At 41.9% G+C, this 25613-nt stretch overlaps 3 annotated features.

Moving 5' to 3' along the window:
• Positions 1227–1396: an enhancer, noted in NCBI's record as "active region_9399". NCBI's record gives its function as "activates an Ori minimal core promoter by ATAC-STARR-seq in GM12878 lymphoblastoid cells {active_cell/tissue: GM12878}" and the evidence as "EXISTENCE:reporter gene assay evidence [ECO:0000049][PMID:35858748]".
• Positions 4360–4529: a silencer, noted in NCBI's record as "fragment chr15:51174366-51174535 (GRCh37/hg19 assembly coordinates)". NCBI's record gives its function as "represses an EF-1alpha promoter that drives an FKBP-Casp9 reporter gene in an ReSE screen in K562 erythroleukemia cells {active_cell/tissue: K562}" and the evidence as "EXISTENCE:reporter gene assay evidence [ECO:0000049][PMID:32094911]".
• Positions 6458–6577: an enhancer, noted in NCBI's record as "active region_9400". NCBI's record gives its function as "activates an Ori minimal core promoter by ATAC-STARR-seq in GM12878 lymphoblastoid cells {active_cell/tissue: GM12878}" and the evidence as "EXISTENCE:reporter gene assay evidence [ECO:0000049][PMID:35858748]".

The following is a 25613-nucleotide window of genomic DNA, read 5'->3' on the forward strand; positions in this document are numbered from 1 at the left end:
ACTCGAGGTCAGGAGTTTGAGACCAGCCTGGCCAACATGGTGAAACCCTATATGTACAAAAAATACAAAAATTAGCCAGGCATGGTGGCGCATGCCTTTAGTCCCAGCTACTTGGGAGGCTGAGGCAGAGGCAGGAGAATCGCTTGAACCTGGGAGGCAGAGGTTGCAGTGAGCCAAGGTCGCACCACTGCACTCCAGCCTGGGCAACAGAGTGAGACTCTGTCTCAAAAAAAAAAAAAAATACACAGAATCAAACAAAATGTGGTATATCCATATCATGGAATATTATTCAGTCTTACAAAGGGAGGAAATTCTCACATGTGCTACAACATAGAGGAAACTTGAGGACATTATGCTAAGTGAAAAATAAGCCAGCTGCAAAAGAGAAAATACTGTATGATTACATTCATATGAGGCACCTAGAATAGTCAAATTCATAGAGACAGAAAGTAAAATGTGGTTTCCAGGGGCTCAGTGGAGAGGCAAATGGAGAGTTATTGCTTAAAGTATAGAGTTTTGATTTGGGAAGATGAAAAAATTCTGGAGATGGATGGTGGTGATGGTAATAGAGCAATGTGAATATACTCAATACTACTGAACTGTACACTTGAAAATAGTTAAGATGGTAAACTTTATGTTATGTCTATTTTACCAGTTTTTAAAAAAGTACACAGAAAGCAATGAGAATGAATCAAGTATAGCTACACACAATATGACATGGATAACTCTTACAATGTTGAGCAAAAGAAGCCAGATACAAAATGGTGCATACTGTGTGATTCTATTGATATAATTCACATGTTAGAAGTCAGGATGGTGGTTACTTCTGGGGGAGGCAGAGATAAAAAAGTAGCATAAACTTCTAGGGTTCTGGTAATATTTCTGTTTCTTGACCAAGTAGTGTTCACGTGTAAAAGTTAATTGCACAGTATATTTATAATTCGTGCAGTTTTCTGTATGTATCTTAAGCTTCAGGTTTTTTTCTTTTCTTTTTTTTTTAAATGGGACAGAGACAAAGTGAAGGGGAATCACCAGGACAGTTAAGGGACTTTAAACATTTGTAGGAAGAAAAGTCGAACAATTTCAGGGTGGTCGAAGTAGTTTGTAGTCTTCAAATATCTGAAGGAGTGGCATGTGGAAGAGGAAGCAAACTTTGCTCACCATACCCAGAGGGGTGATGAGCCAGAGTTAGAGGAAGACAGAATTTAGCTCATTAAAAATGATGCTTCAATTATAGGGTAAGAATTGGATCTCTTAGGAAAATCACACAGCTTCAACTTTGGGACTAAAGGTAATTGGGTATGAATCCTGGCTCTGCCACTTACTTGGATGAATTATGTCACTCAATCGAGTTTCACTTTCTACATCTGTAAAATGCGACTGGTACTAACCACTTGCTGGGTTACTTTCAGGACTAGTGATAATGTATAGCACATACTTTGCCTAGGCCCTGGCCCATAGGAAGTGCTGAAGAAGTAGTAGAAGTTATTTTCAGAAGAAAATGACATAGAAGATGGATTACACCTCAGTGAGGTGTTATGTATTAAAGCATTGGTTCCTTTCAACCCCAAGAATCTATGTAACTTGCCCAAGGTCACACAGCTAATAAAGCCTTCGGTTCCTGATTGGTCCACTCCACTGGGCTGCCTTAGGTGAGAGGATTTCTAGCATCAAGCCGTTGCCCATCAGGGCTAATCAGATAATCATGTCTGTAACAGACCATGAGGGTTAGGATCTTATTCCTTTAAATTCTGACTGTACTCTACAATAGTTCAAAGGGGGAAATCTGGGATGCTGGTTCAAGTGGTAGCCGTGAACAGACAGGTTACGGCTTCAAAGCACCAGGTATTGGGGGTGTGTGTGTGTGTGTGTGTGTGTGTGTGTGTGTGTGGTGTGGTGAGAGAAATTGTTTTAAAAAAAATTTTTTTTTAATGGATTAAGGAAAAAATGTGAAGATAAGTTTAGCCAACTTCACCATTTTTCAGGGTCCAGCTCTTACTGACTGAATAAATAAATCATGAGGCAGAAACAAGAGATACTGCTTTGAAAACCAGTTTCTTCGGCCGGTCATGGTGGCTCATGCCTATAATCCCAGCACTTTGGGAGGCTGAGGCGGGTGGATTGCCTGAGGTCAGGAGTTCGAAACCAGCCTGGCCAGCATGGTGAAACCCTGTCTCTACTAAAAATACAAAAATTAGCCAGGCATGGTGGCAGGTGCCTGTAATCCCAGCTAATCGGGAAGCTGAGGCAGGAGAATCACTTGAACCTGGGAGGCGGAATTGCAGTGAGCTGAGATTGTGCCATTGCACTCCAGCCTGGGCAACAGAGCGAGACTTCATCTCAAAAAAAAAAAAAAAAAAAAAAAAAGAACAGTTTATTCATTTGTAGGCAAAAGCAATGGACTCAATCCACAAAGGTGAGAAAAACCTGAGTTAACACTTTGGCCTAAATTTTCCCAAAGCCTCTTTCTTAGCCTGACTCCAGGCTGCTTAACCCTTATATTTCCAAAGGAAATGACTTGCTGGGGCGGGGCGTCTCAATTTCTACTCTAGGCTTTCTTCCCAACCTCTGTTAAATATTTCTGCCTTGGATTTATTTATGCCCTGGACACAAGAGGAGTCTCTATGACAAGAGACTTGAGGAAACAAACACCTAAAACAGTGTCTCTTTGTCTTGGGCATTATACACTTAAGTCACACTGACCCTTTAAACTTCTACAGCTGCTCAAATGTTATGTCTTGGCCCATATAACTTTTATACTGGATGAAAAATAAATGATATGAATTTAGCTCACTATAGCTTTGGTCTTCGCCAAAGGAAAGAAATACCAGCAGCTTCTTTTTGCAAGTAGCAATTTATTTTAGTGCTTTCCTCTTCAGACTAAAGCCCTTGGTAGAAACCAAAATTACAGCCAAAGCCCACACAGAAACCTCAGATTTTAGTCATATGTCTTGCAAGGATGTTACATCATTTCTTAGTTTACCAAATGGAGACATTTCCTGAAACACAGAGACTCACTGTGAGCTTTGGCCTAAAAGATTTTGGGACTGTGTAGCCCACAATGATCTTAAACTAAATCTTATTTAGGTATCTCATTGACAGACATTTTTTCTTTCACCTTGATCAGTGTGCCTGTCCTTTACGCAGGTGTAATACAAAGCAGTTACTTGTCTTATTTCTGAGATCTCAACATCAGAGTCCTACAGGAAATGATGGCGTATTTAAAATGAATAATTTTTAGAATTCAAAGAAAGAGCCTAAAAAAATAAAGAAAAAAGAAAAAGAAAATGAGTAATTTGAGGAGAGTATAATAAAAAGGACTATTTACAAAGGTAAAAGAGTTCTGGGGAAGCAGCAAGGAATTGGGCAGTATTCTAGGGTTAGTTACTGCGAGCAAATGAGAGGGAGTAATCCCTTCCAACAGCAAGCAGTTTTCAAGCTTTAGTATGCATCAGAATTACCTGGAGGACTTATTACAACACAGATTACTCAGCCTCACCCTGGAGTTTCTGCTTCAGTAGGTCTGGGGTAGGACTAAAATATTTGCATTTTGCATAAATTCCCTGATGATGGCAATGCTACTGGTCTGGAGAGAAAACTGTGTGGAGAAGGCAATTTGGGGCCAGAGGTGTAGCTCACGCCTGTAGTTCCAGCACTGTGGGAGGCTGAGGCAGGAGGATTGTTTGAGTTTAGGAGTTCAAGACCATCCTGGGCAACATAGCAAGACCTTGTCTCTACTTAAGGAAGTTGGGCATGGTGGTACATGCCTGTAGTCCCAGCTACTCGGGAGGCTGAGAGTGGGAGGATTGCTTGAACTCACAAGGTCAAGGCTGCAGTGAGCTACGATTGTGCCACTGCACTACAGCCTGGGTGATTGCCAAAAAAAAAAAAAAAAAAAGGCAGTTTGGCAATTTGACACAAGCTGTGCCCTCCACAGAGAGATGCAGCCAACATGGGAGATCCAGCAGGGACGTACCAAGAGAATCTAATCATCAAAATCTACCCCTATCCAATTCCTTCTGTTGCTCCTTTTTAAACTCAACCAGCAGCCGAAAGGCAAGGGAACCCAGTGATGCAATTCAGACAATTCAGCCTTTAGGATATGGATCAGAGTAGAAAGTAGAGTTGGGTGAGCAAATGGGAAATATCCAGCACTTCTATCACAAAATATCAAGTACCTTCTCCTCACTACTTTTTTCATGCTATTTTATATTTTTATTTTGCTTTCCAGTATATACATGAACATTCATATACATGATATAAATGTAATTTCACAGTAACCCTATAGGGTAGGCAGGAAGATATTTATGCTTACTTAGAAATAAGAAAACTGAGGCTCAAAATGGTAAAGGCTACACATCTGAAAACAGCTTGGATTTTATCACAGGTTTTCTGGGTCCCAATGTGGGGGGCTCTTGCCACCACTTCACACTGCAGACATGAGGGAATCTGGTAGTGATGCTGGTTCCCCCACTCGAGGCTTCTAGGAATCTCTTTCTCCTTCACTGCCCCACCTGCATTCCCCTTGAGCTGCATTCTCTTCTGGAAAAGGTGACTCTCTTCTTTGACTGAGGAGCTCAACCCTTGCTCAAGGGCATACAATGAATTTAGTCTTCTACTAGAGTCATTTATTTGCATTTTTCACTGATTTTCAACCTTTTCAGTGGCAGGGCTACTTAGTCTTGATTTGGGGGCCTTGGAGAGACAAATAAATAACAGCTGTTACCCATCTGAATTCCTTTTGAGAAACAGACACAAAAATCAGACAGACGGAAATAAAAGCATCAGCTTTAATGAGGGTGAGGACAGAGTAGACAAGCTGCCGGTCAGGTCTCACAATCAGACTTCCTAATACAGTCATGCACTGCATAAGGACTCTTTTTTTTTTTTTTTTTTTTTTTTTGAGACGGAGTTTCACTCTTGTTGCCCAGGCTGGAGTGCAATGGCACGATCTCGGCTCACCGCAACCTCCACCTCCCAGGTTCAAGCGATTCTCCTGCCTCAGCATCCCTAGTAGCTGGGATTATAGGCATGTGCCACCACGCCCGGATAATTTTGTATTTTTAGTACAGATGGGGTTTCTCCATGTTGGTCAGGCTGGTCTCAAACTCTTGACCTCAGGTGATCTGCCAGCCTTGGCCTCCCAAAGTGCTGGGATTACAGGCATGAGCCACTGCCCCCGGCCAAGGACTCTTTAATTAATGATGAACACATATATGACAGTGGTCCCTTAAGATTATAATACTGTATTTTTACTGTACCTTTCCTATGTTTAGATATGTTTATATACACAGACACTATTGTGTTACAATTCCCTAGAGTATTCAGTACAGTAACATGTTGTATAGGTTTGTAGCCTAAGAGCAATAAGATATATCACATAGCCCAGGTGTGTAGTAAGCATCTAGATTTATTTTATTTTTATTTTATTTTATTTTATTTTTTTTGAGATAGAGTCTCACTCTGTCGACCAGGCTGGAGTGCAGTGGCACAATCTCGGCTCACTGCAACCTCAGCCTCCCGGGTTCACGCCATTCTCCTGCCTCAGCCTCCCGAGTAGCTGGGACTAAAGGCGCCCACCACCACATCCGGCTGATTTTTGTATTTTTAGTAGAGACGGGGTTTCACCGTGCTAGCCAGGATGGTCTCGATCTCCTGACCTCGTGATCTGCCCGCCTCGGCCTCCCAAAGTGTTGGGATTACAGGCGTGAGCCACTGCGCCTGGCCAGCAGCTAGATTTATTTAAGTGTGCTCTATGATGTTTGCACAACAAAGAATCACCCGGTTCCAGGTACCGGTCCCTGGCCTGTTAGGAACCAGGTCACACAGCAGGAGGTGATGGCAATGGCGGTGAGCAGGAGGCGGGCATTACTGCCTGGGCTCCACCTCCTGTCAGATCAGTAGCAGCATTAGATTGTTATAACAGTGCAAACCCTATTGTGAACTGCACATGTGAAGGATCTAGGTTGCATGCTCTTTATGAGAATCTAATACCTGATGATCTGTGGTGGAAGTTTCATCCCAAAACCATACCTCACCCTTCCAGTCTGTGGAAAAATTGTCTTCCACAAAACTGGTCCTCCCCTGGTGCCAAAGGGGTTGGGAATCACTGACCTAATTACATATTTCTCATAACGTATCCCTGTCTTTAAGTGATACATGACTGTACTTGACTCCTGAACTTTTTGGGGAGGCAGGAGTGTATGTGTGTGGGGAGGTGCACATGCTTCAGCGGTGGGGTTGGTGGGAGGATGCACCTGTCTAGTGGGCAGGCTAGTCCAAGAAGGTTGCAAAAAGGGCTGAGCATGCTCAGTTCCTTCCTCAGTGGTTCAGTCAGATGAGTCACTCCTTCCTTGGGGAGAACTGAGAGGGGAAATAGCAGGAAGCTAAATGCTGTCTTCACAATTCTTCTGAAGTGGAAGTTTCTATTTTATGGACCTGGGAGAGGGAGAAAATGGCTTCCCCAACAACACTGCTCTTAGCAGTACAGATGGTCCCCAACTTAAAATTTTTCGACTCTACCAGGTGCAAAGTGATATGCATTCAGTAGAAACCATACCTTGAGCACCCATACAACCATTTTGTTTTACTTTCAGTACAGTATTCAATAAATTGCATGAGATATTCAACGCCTTAATATAAAATAACTCTAGGCTAACATAAGTGATCTGAGACTTTTAAGGTAGGCTAGTCTATGATGTTCAGTAGGCTAGGTGTATTAAATACATTTTCCGCTTATGATATTTTCAACTTATGATGAGTTTTTTGGGATGTAACCCTACTGTAAATCAAGGAGCATCATCTGTATGTAACACCTTGCTCTTAGCAGTATAGAAGGACTACTGATGCAATTAATTCTGTCATATGATCTACGTAGTTTTTGAAGTTTTGATTCTCGTTAGTATATTAGTACAGGGCTGGGCGCGGTGGAGTATAGCCTCAGGCTTCAACAGTACTATCACTTCTTTGGAATGTTATTTAGTTTCTTTTTAACTTGATTCATTTTTGATCCCTTGGTCAGTTCCCATAATGCTCTGGATCAGGGCCTGCTTGAATATTAAATTCCCATTGTTTCCTTCTGGGAAGGTCTCTGCTTATCCAATCTGGAGCCTATCTTTCTTCCTTGTCCTGGATCTGGTAGACTATTGAGAAAAGTCCTTACAAAGATTTCCTGGGAACTGGATTTTTAAAATGAGTGCATGTGGGAAAATACTCTCCAAGTGCAAAGGGGACTCTGTTTTTACCTCTACTTATATTTCCAGCTCCTCGGGGAAAATAAAAGTATTACAGGTCAAATCTCTTTACAAGTAGCTCAACTTGACTGTCTAAATATGTGGTATGGAGTAGAGTTTTATTTCATGGATTACTGCTTGCACTAGGTTAGACATAAACTGGGCTGTGGAGAACTTTTGGTTAAATAGAGATTTTCATTGCAAAGGTATTTGTTGTAGAGGAATTTACCCAGTAAACAGATATCTTCCAGCTAATGTTTTTACCAGGCTGATTCAGACCGGGTAGCAGGAGCGGGAAAACACTGTGGACACAGTCTGCTGGCTAGCGGTCAAGGCAGAGGCAAGTCTGGCACAGGCAAAAGTCTGTGTGAAATGTGGACCTGAGTCATGAAAGGAGGGGAAGAAACTAGTATGTGTCATTCTGAAAAAGCTCTTCTTAGGGCTCTTTGGGCTGTAACCACTGCCTCTCTCCATAGAGAGTCACAGGGCCTCACTTGGCTCTTCCTGCTGCATTTTCAGACTTAAAAGGAAGCCACCGGCCGGGCGTGGTGGCTCATGCCTGTAATCCCAGCACTTTGGGAGGCCGAAGCGGGCGGATCACGAGGTCAGGAGATCGAGACCATCCTGGCCAACACAGTGAAACCGCATCTCTACTAAAAATACAAAAATTAGCCGGGCATGGTGGCGCATGCTTGTAATCCCAGCTACTTGGGAGGTGGAGGCAGGAGAATCCCTTGAACCAGGGAGTTGGAGGTTGCAGTGAGCCGAGATTGCGCCACAGCACTCTAGCCTGGCGACAGAGTGAGACTCCGTCTCAAAAAAAAAAAAAAAAAAAGGAATCCACCTTCAGGCAAATTCCCTCCGCCTCTCAAGAAAGATAATAAAACAAAATGGAGAGTCCTCGTCTCTAAAAAACCTGGGTCAGGTTTTGAATGAACGCAGTACCGTGACCCAGCATTAGGGGCTAGGAACGTCCACAGTCACGACTGAGGCTTGCTGCTCTGGCGCCCCCTTGGGCATGAGAGTGGAACTGTATACAAAGTTGCCTAAATCCCCACTGCTGCAGTCCCCAGAACACCACCCAGTGTCTCTTTTTCTAGGCCTTTCTCAGCCTGGAGAGTTTCCTAACTTTTTGCCATTCCCAAGGTTTTTCTCTGACCACCACCAAACCCTTCTCAATCTACTAATTTTTCTAAACAAATTATTTTATCTTTCTAATTCTGCATGCATCTCTAGTCACTAAGCCCCAGAAAGATCCTGTAGCAAGCTGTCAATCAATAATAAATTAGCATTTCTGAAATTCATGAGACTTTTTCTTAGTTTTATTGAAATATATTTTATGTACCATAAGACTTCACCCATTATAAGTGTACAGTGAATAATTTTTAGTAAATTGATAGCTTTGTGCAACCACTGTCACAATCCAGTTTTAGAACATTTCTAACACCCAGAAAATTACTTGTGAGAATGTGCAGTCAAAAAAAAAAGAAACAAAACAAACAAACAAAAAGAGAATTTGCAGTCAATCCTCACTTGTTACCTTCAGTTTCAGACAACTACTGATCTGCTTTCTGTCTCTAAAAATTTTCCTTTCCTGGTCATTTCATATAAATGAAATCATACACTATACAGTTTTTTGTGACTGGCTTCTTTCACTTAGCATAATGTTTTCAAAGTTCACCCATGTTGTAGCATGTGTCAGTACTTCATTCCTTTTTATGGCTGAATAATAGTCCATTGTATATAGATAAACTACATTTTGTTTATTCATTCATCAGTTGATGAACATTTGGGTTGTCTCCAGTTTTTGGCTATTATGAATGATGTTGCTATGAACATTTCTATACAAGTGTTTGCATGAATATATGTTTTCATTTCTCTTGGGTAGATACTTAGTAGAATCGCTGAGTTGTATGGCAAATCTATTTAGCTTTTTAAGAAACTGCCAAACAATTTCACAATGTGGCTGTTCTATTTTATATTCTCATCAGCAATATGTGAAGGTTTTCCCATAACTCCTCCATCACTAGGTATTGTCTGACTTTTTGGTTATAGCTTAGTGGGTGTGTTAATGCTATCTTATTGTGGTTTTGACTTGCACTTCCCTCATGACTAATGATGTTGCGCATTTTATCAAGTGATTATTAGCCATTTACATATCCTCTTTGGTGAAATGTCTATTCAAATGTTTACTTCATTTTAAAATTAGATTATTAGTCTTCTTATTACTAAGTTATGAGTTCTTTGTATATTTTGGATATAAGCCCTTTATCACATACATCAGTTATAAATATTTTCTTTCAGTCTACATCTTTTCAATTTATTATGGATGTCTTTTAAACCCAAAAGTTTTAATTTTGATAAAATCCAATTTGTCAGCTATTTTTGTGAACTGTGCTTTTGATGTCATATTTAAGAACTCTGCCTAGCCCAAGGTCATAAAGATTTTCTCCTGTGTTTTCTTTTTTAATATGAAACTCTATTTTTCTTTTTTTTTTTTTGAGACAGAGTCTCGCTCTGTCGCGCCCAGGCTGGAGTGCAGTGGCACGATCTCAGCTCTCTGCAAGCTCTGCCTCCCAGGGTCACACCATTCTCCTGCCTCAGCCTCCTGAGTAGCTGGGACTACAGGCGCCCGCCACCACACCTGGCTAATTTTTTGTATTTTTAGTAGAGACGGGGTTTCACCATGTTAGCCAGGATGGTCTTGATCTCCTGACCTCATGATCTGCCCACCTTGGCCTCCCAAAGTGCTGGGATTACAGGCGTGACCACTGCGCCTGGCCTCTCCTGTGTTTTCTTTTAGAACTTTTGTAGTTTTACTTCTCACATGTAGGTCTGAGATCCATTTTGAGTTCCATTTTGTATATAATGTGAAGTAAGAGCCTAGGTTCACTTTTTTGCATATGGATATTCAATTGTCCCAATACTATTTGTTGAAAAGATGGTCCTTTCTCCATTGAAATGTCTTGGCTACTTCATCAAAAATCAATGGACCATAATTTCTGAACTCTCAGTTTTATACATGTCTATCTTTACACCAATACTACATTGTCTTGATTACTATCTGTTTATAGTAAGTTTTGAAACTGGGTATTGTAAGTCTTCCAGCTTTGTTCTTCTTTTTCAAAATGTTCCTGGATATTACATATAAAATTTAGGACCAGCTGATTCATTTTTCATTTTTGCCAAAAAGCCTGCTGCAGTTTTTTGCTTGTTTGTTTTAGAGATATGGTCTCACTCTGTCATCCAGGCTGGAGTGCTGTGGCATGATCATAACTCACAGTAACCCTGAACTCCTGGCTTCAAGTGATCCTCCGCCTTAGCCTCCAGAGTAGCTAGGAGTACAAGCACGCACCACCGTGCCCAGCTAGTTGTTTTATTTTTATTTTTGTAGAGATAGGGGTCTCTCACTGTGTTGTCCAGGTTGGTCTCAAACTCCCAGCTTTAAATTATCCTCCTACCTTGGCCCGATAAAAGGCTAGGATTATAGGTGTGGACCACTGCATCTAGCCAACTGCTACAGCTTTGATAGAGATTGCGTAGAATCTAAGAACATTTTGGGGAGAATTATAATCTTAGCAATACTGAGTCTTTTCGATCCATGAACATGCAGTGTCTATCCATTCACTTACATCTTTCATCTAACAAAAAAAGCAAAAAAAAAAAAAAAAAAAAAAAACCAACACAACAGAATTGCTGGGCGCGGTGGGACATGCCTGGAATCCCAGCACTTTGGGAGGCTAAGGTGGGTGGATCACTTGAGGTCAGGAGTTCGAGACCAGTCTGGCCAACATGATAAAACTCTGTCTCTACTGAAAATACAAAAATTAGCTGGGTGTGGTGGTATGCGCCTGTAATCCCAGCTGGGGAGGCTGGGGCAGGAGAATCGCCTGAACCGGGGAGGCAGAAGTTGCAATGAGCCAAGATCACGCCACTGCACTCCAGCCTGGGTGACAGAGTGAGACTGTGTCTCAAAAAAACCCCCCAAAAACCCTAAAAACCAAAACAGAACTGAAGGGAAAAAGAGTGATTCAAGAATACCTGGAGATTTCAATACACGCTTTCAAAAATGGTTAGAAACCAGAGAGAAGATTAATAGGAAATTGAGGACTTGTACAATCTATAAACCAATTATACTTAACAGACATATGCACACTCTGCCCAACAGCAGCAGAGTACACATTCTTCTCAAGTATATGTGGAACATTCTACAGGACAGACTGTATGTTAGGCCACAACACAAACACTAACACATTTAAAAAGACTGAAATACAAAATATATTTTCTGACCACAATGGAATGAAACTAGAAATCAATAACAGAAGGAAAACTGGAAAACTCACAAATATGTAGAAATTAAACCACACACTTTTAAACAACAACAATAGGTCAAAGAAGGAATACAAGGGAAACTGGAAAATACCTTAAGATTTATGAAAATACAAACACAGCATACCAAAACATATGAGATGCAGCAAAACAGTGCTGAGAGAAATTAATAGCTGTAAACACATTCATTAAAAAAGTGGAATAGGCCAGATGCGGTGGCTCAAGCCTGTAATCTCAGCACTTTGGGAGGTCAAGGTGGGCGATCACTTGAGGTCAGGAGTTTGAGACCAGCCTGGCCAACATGGTGAAACCCCCCTGTCTACTAAAAATACAAAAGTAAGCCAGGATTGGTGGCGCATACCTGTAACCCCAGCTACTCGAGTGGCTGAGGCACAAGAATCACTTGAACCTGGTAAGTGGAGAGGTTGCAGTAAGTTGAGATCATGCTACTGCACTCCAGCCTGGGCAATGAAAGGAACCTCTGTCTCCAAAAAAAAAAAAAAAAAAAACAAAAAACACGCCGGGCGCAGTGGCTCACGCCTGTAATCCTATGTAATCCTAGCACTTTGGGAGGCCGAGGCGAGTGTATCATGAGGTCAGGAGTTTGAGACCAGCCTGGCCAAGATGGCAAAACCCCGTCTCTACTAAAAAATACAAAAACTAGCCAGGTGTGGTAGTGGGCACCTGTAATCCCAGCTACTCGGGAGGCTGAGGCAGAAGAATCGCTTGAACCTGGGAGGCGGAGGTTGCAGTGAGCCAAGATCACATCACTGCACTCTAGATTGGGTGAAAGAGCAAGACTCCGTCTCAGAAAAAAAAGTGGAATAGTTTTCAACCTAATTGTACACATTAGGGAACTAGAAAAAGAAGAGCAGTCCAGGCGCGGTGGCTCACGCCTGTAATCCCAGCACTTTGGGAGGCCAAGGCAGGTGGATCACAAGGTCAGGAAATCGAGAACATCCTGGCTAACAAGGTGAAACCCCGTCTCTACTAAAAATACAAAAATTAGCCTGGTGTGGTGGCAGGCGCCTGTATTCCCAGCTACTCGGGAGGCTGAGGCAGGAGAATGGCGTGAACTCGGGAGGTGGAGCTTGCAGTGAGCCAAGATTGTGCCACTGCACTCCAGCCTGAGTGACAGAGCAAGACTTCGTCTCAAAAAAAAAAAAAAAAGAGCAAACTAAAGATTTGTGCAGAGATAAGTGCAATATAGAATAGAAACACAACAGAGAAATCAATGAAACCAAAATTTGTTTTTCAAAAAGTGTAACTGCATTGACAACCTGTAGCTAAATTAAGAAAAAAAGAAATACTCAAATAACCAAAATCAGAACATTACAATCAAAGTCACAGAAATAAATAGGATAAGAGAATACTATGAACAACTGTACACTAACAAATTGGATAACCTAGAAGAAATGGATAAATTCCTAGAAAAATACAATTTATCAAGACTGAATCATAAAGTAAAAGAAAATGTGAACAAACCTATAGTTAGAATGAGATTGAATCAGTAATAAAAAATCTGTCAACAAAGAAAAGCCCCGGATGAGATGGCTTCACTGATGAATTCTACCAAATATTTAAAGAATGAAGACTGGGCACGGTGACTCATGCCTGTCATCCCAGCTTTTTAGGAGGCCGAGGCAAGAGGCTTGCTTGAGTCCAGGAGTTCAAGACCATCCTGGGCAACGTAGTGAGATCCGGTCTCTGAAGAAAAAAAAAAAAAGTTAAAGAAGAATGAATACCAAACTCTCAAACCTCCTAAAACTCCTCCAAAAAATGAAGAGGAAGGAACACTTCCAAACTCATTTTAAGACGCTAACATTATCCTGATACCAAAATCAGACAGACACTACAAGAAAAGAAAACCACAGTCCAATATCCCTGATGAATACTGATTAATTTAAAAAAATCCTCAAAATAGTGCAGGCAAATAGAATTCATTAAAAGGGTTATACACCATGACCAAGTGGGATTTATTTCTGGAATGCAAGGATGGTTCCACAAATGAAAATCAACCAATGTAATGTACCACATTAACAGAATGAGGGAAATAACCCATTCAGAATTTTTTTTTAATTTTAGAGACAGGGTCTCACATTGTCACCCAGAGTAGAGTGCAGTGGCACAATCATAGCTCACTGCAACCTTGAAATCCTGTACTCAAGGGATCCTCCTGCCTCAGCCTCCCAAGTAGCTAGGACTACAGGTGCACATCACCATGCCTGGCTAATTTTTTATTTTATTTTGTAGAGACAGGGTCTTGCTATTTTTCCTAGGATGGGTCTTGAACTCCTGGCCACAAGTGATCCTCCTGCCTTGGCCTCCCAAAGCACTGGATTTACAGGCATGAGCTACTGTGCCCAACCCCCATTCAGATTTAATACAATTTATCAATAAGGTTGAATTAATGTCTGCCATTTTGCTATTTGTTCTCTATATGCTGTTTGTCTTTTTTGTTCTTCTGTTCTTCCTTTACTGTTTTTTATGTTTAATAGATATTTTTATATCCCATTTTAATTTGTTAATTTTTTACTATTTTTTAAGTTATTTTCTAAGTGGCCACTCTAAGAATTAAAATATGCATCTTGATTTATCAAAATCTATTTCAGAGTAATAACTCTAGTAAAACATAGAAACTTTGCTCTAATATAGTTCCACTTACACCTTCTTCTTTGTTTTACTATTGTCATACACATTACATCTATATATGTTATAAAGCTATTTATTGTTTTATAATATTAGTTCACATAATATTCTGTTTCAAAGTTCTTAGAAGAGAAAATATATGGATACAGTCCTTTATATTTACTCATATGTTTAATAATTGCTGTGTTATGCATTTCTTTGTATAATTTGAGTTACCATCTGGTGTTATTTCCTATTAGCCTAAAGAATTCTCTTTAATATTTTTTTTAATGCAGGTCTGCTGGGTCCCTCTCAGCAGTCCAGGCCTTATGTTGACTCATTTACACACAGCTCTGCTTTGCTTTGACCTTGTGAAAACACTGCTTCGTTTAAATTTCACCTAAACTCTACTCTTCCCCCACAATCCTATAATAATTCCATCTTTTCCTTTGTCTAGTCAGATGCTCCACAGTTCCTCTGGTAAGTGGTCTCTGTCATTGCCATGAGTCAATAAACTTGTTTATAGATTTGTCCCTGAAAGCTGATTGGGCTACAATATTTATTTAGTACCTATTTTATCCATGGGACTAAAAACTCCAGGACTGGGCTGGGTGTGGTGGCTCATGCCTATAATCCCAGTACTTTGGGAGGCTGAGACAGGTGGATCACCTGAGGTCAGGAGTCCAAGACCATCCTGGCCACCATGGTGAAACCCAATCTCTACTAAAAATACAAAAATTGGCTGGGTGTGGTGTTGGGCGCCTGTAATCCCAGCTACTCGGGAGGCTGAGGCAGGAGAATCACTTGAACCCGGAGGCAGAGGTTGCAGTGAGCCAAGATCACGCCATTGCACTCCAGCCTGGGTGACAAGAGCAAAACTCCATCTCAAAAAAAAAAAAAAAAAAAAAAATTAGCCAGGTAGCACGCACCTGTAGTCCCAGCTACTTTGGAGGCTGAGGCAGGAGAATCGCTTGAACCCAGGAGATGGAGGTTGCAGTGAGCCAAGATCACACTACTGCACTCCAGCCTGGGCGACAGAGTGAGACTCCGCCCCAAATAAATGAATAAATAAATAAACTCCAGGAAGGGAGTTGTGTCTATCTTGTATCTCTAGCATGGTTCAATGCCTGACACATTGTAGTAGATCAATAAAAGTTGCATAAATGAATAATGATACAGTTTGGCTGTGTCCCCACCCAAATCTCATCTTGAATTCCCATGTGTTGTGGGAGGGACCCAGTGGGAGGTAATTGAATCATGGGGGACAGGTCTTTCCTGTGCTGTTCTGTGATAGTGAGTAAGTCTCATGAGATCTAATGGTTAACTATAAGGGGGAGTTTTCCTGCATAAGCTCTTTTTGCCTGCCTCCAACCATGTAAGATGTAACTTGCTCCTCCTTGCCTTCTCCCATGACTGCAAGGCATCCCTACCCATGTGTAACTGTAAGTCCAGTTAAACTTCTTTCATTTGTAAATTGCCCAGTCTCGGGTATGTCTTTATCAGCAGTGTGAAAACAGATGAATACAGTAAATTGGTGCCAAAAGTGGGGTGCCACTGAAAAGATATCTGAAAATCTGGAAGCAACTTTGGAATTGGGTAACAGGAAGAGGTTGGAACAGTCTGGAGGGCTCAGAAGAAGACAGGAAAATATGAGAAAGTTTGTAACTTCCTAGAGACTTGTTGCATGGCTTTGACAAAAATGCTGATAATGGTATGAACAATGAGGTCCAGGCTGAGGTGGTCTCAGATAGAGATGAGGAACTTGTTGGGAACTGGAGCAAAGGTAACTTTTGTTATGTTTTAGCAAAGAGAATGGTGGCATTTTGCCCCTGCCCTAGAGATTTGTGGAACTTTCAACTTGAGAGAAATGATTTAGGGTATCTGGTGGAAGAAATTTCTAAGCAGCAAAGCATCCAAGAGGTGACATGGATGCTGTTAAAGGCATTCAGTTTCATAAGGGAAGCAGAGCATAAAGGTTTGGAAAATTTGCAGCCTGACAATGCGATAGAAAAGAAAATATCATTTTCTGAGGAGTTCAGGCTGGTTGCAGAAATTTGCATAAGTAACGAGAAGCCAAATGTTAATACCCAACACAATGGGGAAAATGTCTCCAGGGCATGTCAGAGGTCTTCACAGCAGGCCCTCCCATCACAGGCCTGGAGGTCTAGGAAGAAAAAATGGTTTAGTGGGCTAGGACCAGGGTCCCTGTGCTGTGTGCAGTCTAGGGACTTGGTGCCCTGAATCCTAGCTGCTCCAGCCATGACTAAAAGGGGCCAAGGTACAGCTCAGGCCATGGCTTCAGTGGGTGCAAGCCCCAAGCATTGGCAGCATCCACGTAGTTTTCAGCCTGCAGATGCACAGAAGTCAAGAATTGAAGTTTGGGAACCTCCGCCTAGATTTCAGAGGATGTATGGAAACACCTGGATGTCCAGGCAGAAGTCTGCTGCATAGCCCCAAGCCTTGGCAGCTTCCACGTGGTTTTGAGCCTGCAGATGCACAGAACTGCATCTGCACAAACTTCAAGAATTGAAGTTTGGGAACCTCTGTCTAGATTTCAGAGGATATATGGAAACACCTGGATGTCCAGGCAGAAGTTTGCTGCAGAGGCAGGGCTCTCATAGAGAACTGCTAGTGCAGTGGAGACGGGAAATGTGGGATTGGAGGCCCCACACAGAGTCCCTACTGGGCCACTGCCTAGTTGAGCTGTGAGAAGAGGGCCACCATCTTCCAGACCCCAGAATGGTAGATCCACCTACAGCTTGTACCGTGCACCTGGAAAATTCACAGACACTCAATGCCAGTCCATGAAGGCAGCTAGGAGGTGGGCTATACTCTGCAAAGCCACAGGGGCAAAGCTGCCCAAGACCATGGGAACCCACCTCTTGCATCAGTGTGACCTGGATACATGGAGTCAAAGAGAGAATGAGTTTGAAGGAAAATGAAGAGACCCGAGAATGGGAGTATTCTGGAAAGCACAAGTAGTTCAGTATTTCTAGAGGCTCAAATAGGAGGGTGGTGGAGGGAGAGGAGAAAGGGGAGGCACCTAAGCTTGTTAATGGCTACCTCTGTGGTTCTGCTGATAAGATTGGATTTTGTTAGGCCGGGCGCAGTGGCTCACGCCTGTAATCCCAGCACTTTGGGAGGCCGAGGCGGGCGGATCACGAGGTCAGGAGATTGAGACCATCCTGGCTAACACGGTGAAACCCTGTCTCTACAAAAAAATACAAAAAATTAGCCGGGTGTGGTGGCAGGCGCCTGTAGTCCCAGCTACTCAGGAGGCTGAGGCAGGAGAACGGCATGAACCTGGGAGGCAGAGCTTGCAGTGAGCTGAGATTGTGCCACTGCACTCCAGCCTAGGCGACAGAGCAAGACTCTATCAAAAAAAAAAAAAAAAAGATTGGATTTTGTTCTGTAAGTGATGGGAGGCCTTTGAAGATTCTTGCTGAAGGGACCCACTAATCAGGTGTCCTACTAGCACCTCTCTCCTCATAATTCTTCCTCTGGTTCTATTTTAATCTCTGGCACTCCTAGCTCCCCACAGGTCCTGTGTCTGAGGCAAATCCATATATCATCTACTGTGACTGAGGAAGTAGTAACTAGAGCCTAATGGGCCTCTGAATTCCTTCTTTCCATCCCTCCTAAAGCAGTTTTAATTTTTCTTATGATTATGAAAGTAATATATTATCATTTCTAAAACTTCAATAAATACAGAAAAATATAAAGAAAAAATACACAGTAACCATAATTCTATTATCTGAGGCAACCATCTTTAAGGTTTGGGTATTCATGCTTCCAGTTATTTTTCGATGCACATTCTCCCTTCTAACAAATGTATAAATGCTTATTAATTGCCAGCCATTGTGCCAGGCACTGCATAAACAGCAGTGAACACCTGATCCCTGCCCTCAAAGAGCATTCAGCCTAGTGAGGGAGAAACACATTAAATAAATAAGGCAAATACTTTTATATTTACAAATTGTGATGTGTGACATTGACATATATTTGTGGCAAAGATGAGCTCAAACCATACATATATTATACTGTTTTATAACCTGTTTTCTTCACTTACATCGATGTATCATGAATATCTTTCCATGGAAATAAATACAGACTCTGTTAGAACTGAGAGTAAGAAGATGAATATGGAAAACATGTTCCTGCCTTCATCTTCATATCCCCAAGTGTCAGCTCTAATAGGGAAGAGAGACATATAAACCGGTAATTTCAACTCAGTTTTAGTAGAGGTTGTAAAAGGTACAAACATAAGGTATGATAGAGGAAATAAGGTCTGAGTTCTGTTTTAAAGGATAAATAGGAATTTTTCAGTTAAACAAAGAGTGAAAGAATATTCCAGGCAGTCAGCAGGTACAAAAACATGAGGAGTTAAACAGCACGGCACACTCAGGGAATTCAGGCAGCTCAATATCACTAAAATAAAAAATTCTGACATAAGACTAGTATGAGGCCAGGTGTGGTGGCTCACACCTGTAATCCCAGCACTTTGAGAGGCCTAGGTGGGCAGATCACCTGAGGTCAGGAGTTTGAGACCAGCCTGGCCAACATAGTGAAACCCTATCTCTACTAAAAATACAAAAATTAGCTGGTGTGGTGGCACACGCCTGTAGTCCCAGCTACTCGGGAAGCTGAGGCAGGAGAACTGCCCGAACCCAAAAGGCAGAGGTTGCAGTGAGCCGAGATCGCGCCACTGCACTCCAGCCTGGGTGGCAGGGCGAGACTCTGTCTTAAAAAAAAAAAAAAAAAGGCCAGGGTGCAATGGCTCATGCCTGTAATCCCAGCACTTTGGGAGTCCAAGATGGGCAGATCACCTGAGGTCAGGAGTTCAAGACCAGCATGGCCAACATGGTGAAACCCCATCTTTACTAAACATACAAAAAATTAGCTGGGCGCGGTGGCCGGTGCCTGTAATCCCAGCTACTTGGGAGGCTGAGGCAGGAGAATCGCTTGAACCCAGCAGGAGGAGGTTGCAGTGAGCTGAGGTTGTGCCATTGCACTCCAGCCTGGGGCAACAAGAGCACAGCTCCATCTCAAAAAAAAAAAAAAAAAAAAAAAGAATAGTATGAGAAGAGGGTAGAGAGGCAGGCAATGGAAGAGTTATAAATATCTACAGATGCCCAGGTAAAGAGCTTCCATTTTTCCCACCAAACTATTTTGAACTAGGAATAGTAAAAGATTTCTGAGTTAGAAATCAGATGGCTGGCTGAAAAGAGGAGAGGACAGTGATGGCGATGACAAATTAGATTGTTATAATGATTCAGGAGAGAGATGAGGTACTAAAGTAAGATGTTTGCAGGGGAAATGAAGCAATGGGGGACGTTATTGGGGGTAAACTAAGGCAACATCGAGAGTGAAAAATCGGAACTATTGATGAGAGTTGTCAAGGTCTTTGCTGGAAAAACCTTGCCAAATGTCAAACCCAAACAGCCTGGGGATAAACAATGCTAAATGCAGTTCAGTAGTTGAGGGGGTTGAAAATAGGATGAGAGCCTAGGAGAGAGTATAGAAGGGGAGAACTGGGGCCATTGGATAAGTGTGTGTGTATCCTAGAACTTTCCTTTCAGGCGATTCCCAGGTGCACTGCTGGAGCAGGGATGATAACTCTTGGGGTAAGTGAGCATGAACAACTGTTGTCTGTTTGCAATACTCTAATCAACAGGTGGGCAGAGATTTTCAGTAAAATGTTATAAAAAGGAATGATTCTCCAGAGATATATTCTAAAAATAAGTGGGCTGAATTCTCTGTGGGCATGGGATGGCATAAATGACTTTCAAAATGAAAGCTATTGTTTCTGCAGAAAATATTGCTGAAGAAATGGATCATGGTGGTTGCTTCTAAGGAGGAAAGTAGGAGGGTGGGGAAAGGAAAAGAGGAATACTTTTCTTAGTGTAAGCTTTTGTACATGTTGAATTTGGAATAAAGTGAATGTAATGTTTATGCAAAATAAATAAAAGTTTTCTAAATGAAAGCTGAGGAAACACATGGAAGAAAAACATGTCTTACCTTTTCCTGTACCTCTATATATTTCCAAGTGAGACAGAAAGAAAGCTTTCTGTCTGTGTATTTCCAATTGAGACAGAAAGAAAATAAAACAAGTGAGACAGGAAAAAAACTTGTGGAGTGGCTGGTGATAGTCTTATGGAGAATATACTAGTTTGCCCCCCTGCTGTCCTTGGACCACTGCACCTTCTTAAAGTGTACGGAGTCACTTTTCTGTCCTTTTTTTTTTTTCTTTTTGAGACGGAGTTTTGCTCTTGTTGCCCAGGCTGGAGGGCAATGGCGTGATCTCGGCTAACCTCAACCTGGGCCTCCAGGGTTCAAGCAATTCTCCTGCCTCAGCCTCCTGAGTAGCTGGGATTATAGGCATGCGCCACCACCCTGGCTAATTTTGTATTTTTAGTAGAGACGGGGTTTCTCCATGTTGGTCAGTTTGGTCTTGAACTCCCGACCTCAGGTGATCTGCCCGCCTCGACCTCCCGAAGTGCTGGGATTACAGGTGTGAGCCACTGCGCCTGGCCCTGTCCTATTTTCTTTCTTTTTTTTTTTTTGAGATGGAGTCTTACTCTGTCACCCAGGCTGGAGTTCAGTGGTGCTATTTGGGCTCACTGCAACCTCCACGTCCCAGGTTCAAGTGATTCTCCTGCCTCAGTCTCCTGAGTAGCTGAGAATTACAGGGGCGCACCTCCACACCTAGCTCATTTTTTGTATTTTTAATAAAGATGGGGTTTCGCCACATTGGCCAGGCTGGTCTCAAACTCCCGACCTCAAGTGATCTGCCTGCCTCGGCCTCCCAAAGTGCTGGGATTACAGGCGTGAGCCACTGCATCTGGCCCCCTATTTTCAGTTCAATGAGAGCCACTTTTCTCCTTGACTGGAAGAAGAAAGAGGAATTTCAGTTCAAGAGGGTTTAACAGGTTCTATCTTTGTGACAGTAAATCATTCCAAGTGAAATTACCTAGGACAGAGGTGGTGATAAGAAAAGGAGGAAGAAGAGTCCATATTTACAGAAAAAGTGGACAGTCTAAAATTATAAGCTTAAAATGGAAAATTCATATCCTCTTTATTTTGGGGCAGGACTAGGAGCCAGAGTCTCAGAACAGGAAGCCACAAGTAACCTCTTTACTATCAACACCATGAAAGTATGGGGGGAATGCTCTGGGTTTGAATTCTAGATGTAGGGCTACAATTTCATTTCCACCCGTATGGTTGTATGACTTGAGATTAGTTGGCTTCCACAATCTAAGTCTTAGCATCCTTTTCTACAAAAGGAGACAATTGGATGTGTGGATGGCCTTCAACTTTTCTTCCAGCTCTCACATTCTGTCATTATAAATCTTAGCAAGTCTTATTGTACGATCAGCTTTTCTCTCCAGGCATTTAACTTCTGGACATTTGACATTTGTTTCCTTGCTCTATTTTCAATTTTTAGCTTTGAGAAGTGGAAGCTAGAGAAGGAATGGTAGGAATTAATGGGAGTCAACAATTTTTGTGCCTGGGTCACAAAATAGGAGGCTCTGGGAGTTGTTCCAGAAAATTCTCTGTCATAATCTGGTCAGTCATAGATTGTCCAGATTGAGAAAAAAACTTTGTCTTTTTCTCAAATTTCTCTCTTTCCCAAGAACTATTCTGTCCTTTTCTCTTGCAACCATTCACCTTATCTCTGGACTCTGGCTGTTCACTGTCCTAGACTAACATACCAATTGATGTGATTGAATGAGAAATATAATAATTACTTCAATAAATAATTGACTACATACTATGTACTAGATAAGCAGCTTTCAATTTTTTTGGTCTCAGGAGCCCCACAACATAGTTAAAAATTATTGAAGATCCTCAAAAGTTTTTGCTTTTGAGTTATATCTACTAATACTTACCGGGTTAGAAAGTAAAAGAGAGAGAATTTTAAGATGTTAATTAATTTTAAAAACAGCAACAATGGGCTGGGTGCAGTAGCTCACGCCTGTAATCCCAGCACTTTGGGAGGCCGAGGCGGGTAGTTCACCTGAGGTCCAGAGTTGGAGATCGGCATGGCTAACATGGGGAAACCCCGTCTCTACTAAAAATACAAAAAATTAGCCGGGCGTGGTGGTGGGTGTCTATAATCCCAACAACTTGGGAGGCTGAGGCAGCACAATCCCTGGGAGGTGGAGGTTGCAGCGAACTGAGATTGTGCCATTGCACTCCAGCCTGGAAAACAAGAGCAAAACTCCATCTCAAAGAAAAAAAATAATAAATAAATGAAACAGCAACAATAAACCCATTGCATGTTGACATCCTTTTCTATTTTTAAATGAAAAACAGTTATATAGTCAGCCCTCAGTATCCTCAGGGGATTGATTCTAGGACCCTCGTGGATATCAAAATTGGTGGATGCTTGAGTCCCTTAATTAGCCTTCTTCATCTGAGGGTTTTTCATCCATGGTGGATTTTGATCCACAGTTGGTTAAATCCTTGGGGATATGGATCACGTGGATATGGAGAGCTGACTGTATATCAAATTCCAAAACAATTAAAGAACTGTGTCACTGTTTTACAACTTTGCAAGTCTCTTTAATGTCAGGATTAATATAAAACATTGCATTGTCATGTCTGGTTCTGCACGTAATCTGTTGATTTGGGGTTTGTATTAGTTTCCTGTGGTTGCTGTTTAACAAATTATCACAAACTTGGTGGCTCAAAACTACAGAAATTTATTCCCTCATAGTTCTGGAGGCCAGAAAGTTCAATACCAGTTTCACTGGGCCAAAGTCAAAGTGTGGGCAGGAAAACGTTCCCTCTGGAGGCTCTAGAGAAGCTTCTTCTTCCAGCTTTTGGTAACTGCTGGCATTGCTTGACTTTTAGAGGCATCACACTAATCTCTGCCTTCATCTTCACATCAATTTCACTTCTGTGTTGGGTGGCTAATCTCCCTTCTCTCTTAACAGGATGCTTGAGATAACATCAATAATCCACTCAGGTAATCCATGATAATCTCTTTACCTAAAGATCCTTAACTTCATCTCATCTGTAAAAGTTTTACCACGAGGTAACACAAATTCCAGGGATTAGAACACGGACATCTTTGGAAGTCATTATCAGCCTACCACAAGGTTTTTCTTTTTTGTTGAAGTTTATGAGGAAAACCTGGTCACATACAGAAAGTAGTTGGGGAAAAATCCCTTTCAAATAATTGTAGATATTCTTCTTAGATCCAACACTAAAAGCAGTAAGTAGTTTTTAAAAAGTTGTTGCAATGTGGAATCTGAAACCATCAGGGAACCTTTTTTACTAGGTTACATTGAAATCATAATTCTATTGAAGCTGTCCTCAAAGGGTTAACAAGAATTCTGGAAGGAAATATAGTTATAATTGAGCATTAATCAGGCTGCACTCTGACCCACTTCCTTGTAACCAAAAGTCAGGTTACACTACATAGAGACCATTTGCGTTCCCATTGTTCCTATTGACAGAATTTCTGACATTAGGCTTTTTTTTTTTTTTTTTTTTGAGATGGAGTCTCTCTCTGTCACCCAGGCTGGAATGCAGTGATGCAATCTTGGCTCACTGCAACCTCTGCCTCCTGGGTTCAAGCGATTCTCCTGCCTCAGCCTCCCGAATAGCTGCGATTACAGGCACCTGCCACCACGCCTAGCTGATTTTTGTATTTTTAGTAGAGACAGGGTTTCACCATGTTGGCCAGGCTGATCTCGAACTCCTGACCTCAGGTGATTTGCCCGCCTTGGCCCAAAGTGCTGGGATTACAGGCATGAACCACCGCACCTGGCCCACTCAACTAATTTTTGTGTTTTTGGTAGAGACGGGGTTTCACCATGTTGGCCTGGCTGGCCTCAAACTCCTGACCTCAAGTGATCTGTCTGCCTTGGCACGGACTCCCAAAGTGCTAGGATTACAGATGTGAGCCACCGCGCCTGGCCAGGGCTTTTAAGATAGATAGGATCTCTGACATTAGAATCATAAAGGGTTTAAGAACTGCTTAAGCAGATCCTGAATTCCACCTGAACAGCTGATGCCAACCAGTTTAAAAACCCCCAGAGAGGAACGGAATCAATAACATCTCCCTGTCCCATGGCTTCACCCTGCACTCTGATCAATCTCTACACTTTGGCCTACTCCCAAACCTTTAAAATCCCTAGCTCCACATTCCTTGGGGAAATGGATTTGAGGTTTTCTCCCATCTCCTCATCTGGCAGCCCTACAATTAAACCTCTTTCTCTGCTACAACCTGGTGTCTTGGCATATTAACTTGTCACATATTGGGCGAAGGGCCCTATTATGGTTACACTATTTGCTTTAAGTGGATGTTTTGCTGGTACATAATTTTATAACATTGTGCATTGATCATTTGGAAAATATTGGTTCATTGAGTTATGGAGATCTTTCAAATGTTGGCACATTTAATTATACAATATAAAAAATTCATTAACATAATCACCAATTTATCAGAATGGTCTTTATGTATCTGGAAATTATTAAAATTGTAGTAGACAAACATTTTTCAAAATTTTAGTTTTCACTTGAAAGCCTGAATTTATCAGTGGCAACAAATATTGTCAGTTATCTTCCTTGAAGTGTGAAGGAAACCAGACTCTGTCACCCCAAAATATTCCTATTTGACATGAATATTATTTTGAGCTGAAGGCAATTAAGCAGCAGCAAAGGCAGGAAACACTCTCTCTACCCTCCTCCTTTTCTGTTTAAAGGCAGGATACAACTTCCTTTACTGGAGGCAACTCTACCATCTTACTAGCCCAGAGGTGGCACCAGAGGAATGTGCACACAAACCTTACTTCATTAGTTTCTTTCCATATATTTTCCTTCCCCAAGATTCCCAGCCCTGGAAGACTAAAACTGCTTTCCTTTGTCCTGTCATTTCTCTATAAGTTTATTGTATTTTGTTAAAGATGCTATATAAGCCAGAGTTTTACCTTCTTTGAATTACTCATTTCTAGTTATTCCTATGTTATATGCTCCATACATTTTAATAAACTTGCTTGTTTTTTTCACAGGGGACCCAGCCAAGAACTTAGAAGGGTAAGAGAAAAAGATTTTTTTCTTTCCCTACAACTGAAAGACTCACTGTTCATTTTCAAGAAAACTACTGTTTATCGCTTTCAACTAAAAATGGTGTTCCATGAAAAAAAGTGGTTGGTTCAGCTTTCTCTTTTCTTTTTTTTTTCTGAGACGTAGTTTCGCTCTGTCGCCCAGGATGGAGTACAGTGGCGCGATCTCGACTCACTGCAAGCTCCGCCTCCCGGGTTCACGCCATTCTCCTGCCTCAGCCTCCCGTGTAGCTGGGACTACAGGCGCGCGCCACCATGCCCGGCTAATTTTTGTATTTTTAGTAGAGACGGGGTTTCACCGTGTTAGCCAGGATGGTCTCGATCTCCTGACCTCGTGATCCGTCCGTCT

This window comes from Homo sapiens, chromosome 15, assembly GCF_000001405.40.
Source record: "Homo sapiens chromosome 15, GRCh38.p14 Primary Assembly".
NCBI classification, from domain to species: domain Eukaryota; kingdom Metazoa; phylum Chordata; class Mammalia; order Primates; family Hominidae; genus Homo; species Homo sapiens.